This window comes from Homo sapiens, chromosome 13, assembly GCF_000001405.40.
Source record: "Homo sapiens chromosome 13, GRCh38.p14 Primary Assembly".
Lineage (NCBI taxonomy): Eukaryota > Metazoa > Chordata > Mammalia > Primates > Hominidae > Homo > Homo sapiens.
In genome coordinates, this window is record NC_000013.11 from 64,533,660 (window position 1) to 64,536,581 (window position 2,922).

Here is a 2,922-nt window from a genome sequence, read left to right on the forward strand (position 1 = left end):
CCTGGGATGGGGGCCTGAGGTAAGGCAGATTCCATCCTTGAGAATTTTGCTGCCTACTGTTGCTAAAATCTTAGGATGGTTTACTTTAAGTCCTGTCTCCCTTACGATAGGAATGTCTTAGCTTCTTTTCTGGAAAACATAGCCCTTTCTTGATTCTCACTAGACACCCATCTGCTTCTTTCCTTGTCCTCCATTTGGCATAAGAACTGAAACCAACATAATTTGACTGTCCCGATTTTACACAATAGTGAGAATAAGCAAAAGAAACTTAGTTACTGTCTCCAGGAAATAATTGCTTCTGAATAATAACACTGCGAACCACCTCAAATAGTTTATTACGAACAGTTCGTCAGGATTTGCTTCAAGATTCTTACGTCAGGGTGTTCACTTTATTCACCAATTCAAAACTATTATATCATAATATGTCTCCTCCTAAGTCCAAATAAAATATTTTCCCATGAATTTTTTCCTTTTGAGATAGTAATAAGACTCTGTCAAATTGATATTTTCTCTTACCACATTAAATCTAAGAACTTAGCTATGGGTGATCAAGTTTTATTTGTTTGCATTTGTTTTTGTTTTTGTTTTCCTAGTGGTTTTTCAAGGACTCAACAGTTGACTGGCAGTTGGTTCAGGCTACCCCTTCTTACCTTGACAGATTCCTTGATATGCCCACTGAGTCCCTACCTTCGTGCTCTCTACATACCCTCTGCAGGGAATTCAGCTTCCCATAAACTACAAGCAAGAAACGAAAGAGACTTTAGAAAGCTAAACTCTGGCCTTCCTCCTGTCTACCCACTTTCCACCAACAAGCTTAGTTTAAAACAGCCACACTTTAATTGTCAGGGACAGCTTGTAAGTCCATTGTTATTCAAAGTCCCAAACATTTAGATGGGAAAAGCCCATTCTCCTTAGAAAATCTCCCAAACCACCTCACAAGTCTCCTTACTTTGGTCCAAAACTCAGAGAGTGGTCACATTAGGAATCATATTGCAATTTCTTAATTATCTTTTTTTTTTCCTAATAGTCTCAATGATTAGAGATAAAGATAATTTTCTATTTCTTCTTTCTTTGTGATTTTCTTTAGAGAAAACTGCCTAATTGACCTGTTCAATCATTTGATAAGTTCAAGGGAAAGTTTTTGCAGTAAAAAGCTCAACTTTGAGAGTGAGGATTGATCAATGGCGTCTTTTCCTAGACCAGTGGCTCTCAACCAGAGACAATATTGATGCCTGCAGATCTTTGGCTTGCGGAGACATTTCAATTGCCATGATCTGGAAGACATTATGGACATCTCCTGCTAAATGTCCTTCAATGCACAGCATGGTCACCAAAAACAAAGAATTATTCAGCACATGTTAATAGTGCTAAGGTTAATAGTTCTGTTCTAGACAATATTACCACCCTTTTTTTTCTACAATAAATCATAAATAAATAAATGCATTTATATATAGTAATAACTTTTTTTACTTTACAGACAATGAGTGTTTCTTTGTTTATTCATTATTCAAGTATGTATGCACACATTCCTATTTAGTGCTGTTGAAACATCTAGGTATCAAGATGATTACAATGCATTACTCTTTGCAGAAGTAATTCCAAAGAATCAGACTCTTAATTTGCAATGCAATTTAATAAATATTTATTGTACATCTATTATGTTTAAGCATTCCTGGAGGATACAAATACGTCTAAATGAGAGTTTCTTTTAATCCAGGGGCTTAACAAATAAGACCTACTCCACTCAGAACTATAATTAGGGTTAAAAAAAGAACCTTGAAAGGAGAGGGAAGTAACAGATTAATTCCTGTTAAGGAGTTGTAGGAAGGCCTTATTTAATCAGGAGAATATAAGCATATTGGGAAATAATAAGCAAGTATTCAAGAAAAAAAAAACTTGTTAAAAAATGCAGCAATTTAAATTCCATGGTAAAGTTGAGTTAATTCTAATAATTTAAAGTTATTTAATACAGTTTATAGGAGCAGTGAGGATTAAAAAGATATTTAAAGAAATTTTTCTTAAAAGGTAAATTATCATGTGGGTATTAGAGGTTCTTTTCAAGCATATGGCTTCACAGAATAATATTCGTGAGAAATTGATGCAAATTTGCACATGCTCAAAAATAAAATATTTGAATTTCAGATTGATTGTTTTACATACTGTACACTAATAAGTATTCATTTTGCATGTTCTTTGGAAGAGAACATTGGAAGCATTTGCCTAATCAATGATATATGTACATCTTCAAACTTGTATCTTCCTGCAGATCAAAATTTGATTTAATTACAGGTTAATGAGATGTATTTGGTTCTATCTGTATTTGATTATGATTTTATAGGGCTTTACTGTTATAACTTAAGATCTTCTTCTTACCTAATATAGTAAGATAATAAAAATACAGCTAAGTCAATTAATTTTATGCAAATTTTTTCATGTTGGAAATAAAAAATAAGCAGGGTAAAAGGAGAGTGTTCTCTTTTAGTGCCAATAAAGACCAGTAGAATCCCATCAGCAGCTTCCTCAAAGGTCAACAGTTTGTGTCTATAAAAGCAAATTTCAATTACCTTGAATACACTCAGCAAGTACCACGTTACTTCATTTATTATGCTTGGCTGTTTAAACTAAAACAAAGGTGCATTTGTGAGATTCATTAGACTGTTCCTAGATAAAAGAATCTATAAGCTAATTTTAGCATTGAGAAAAATTTTAAGACATATTTATTTTGTATCACATAGCTTAAAACAAAGAAGTGCTTATCACCTTCAATTTGCAACCTAAATATTTAAACATCATTATTAATACTATTGCATTGGTTGTTTTAATAGCAGCTTTTGAATACTGAGATTTGTGATTTCTAAAAGTGACACTAAATAAAATTTAATCACATTTATATGAAAGTTATTGTTGCCAATACTACATGAA

At 32.8% G+C, this 2,922-nt stretch overlaps 1 annotated feature.

The window, feature by feature from the left end:
• Positions 537-1,161: an enhancer, noted in NCBI's record as "OCT4-NANOG hESC enhancer chr13:65108328-65108952 (GRCh37/hg19 assembly coordinates)". NCBI's record gives its function as "activates a minimal SCP1, AML or CMV promoter by ChIP-STARR-seq in naive and primed H9 embryonic stem cells {active_cell/tissue: H9 hESC(naive and primed)}" and the evidence as "EXISTENCE:reporter gene assay evidence [ECO:0000049][PMID:30033119]".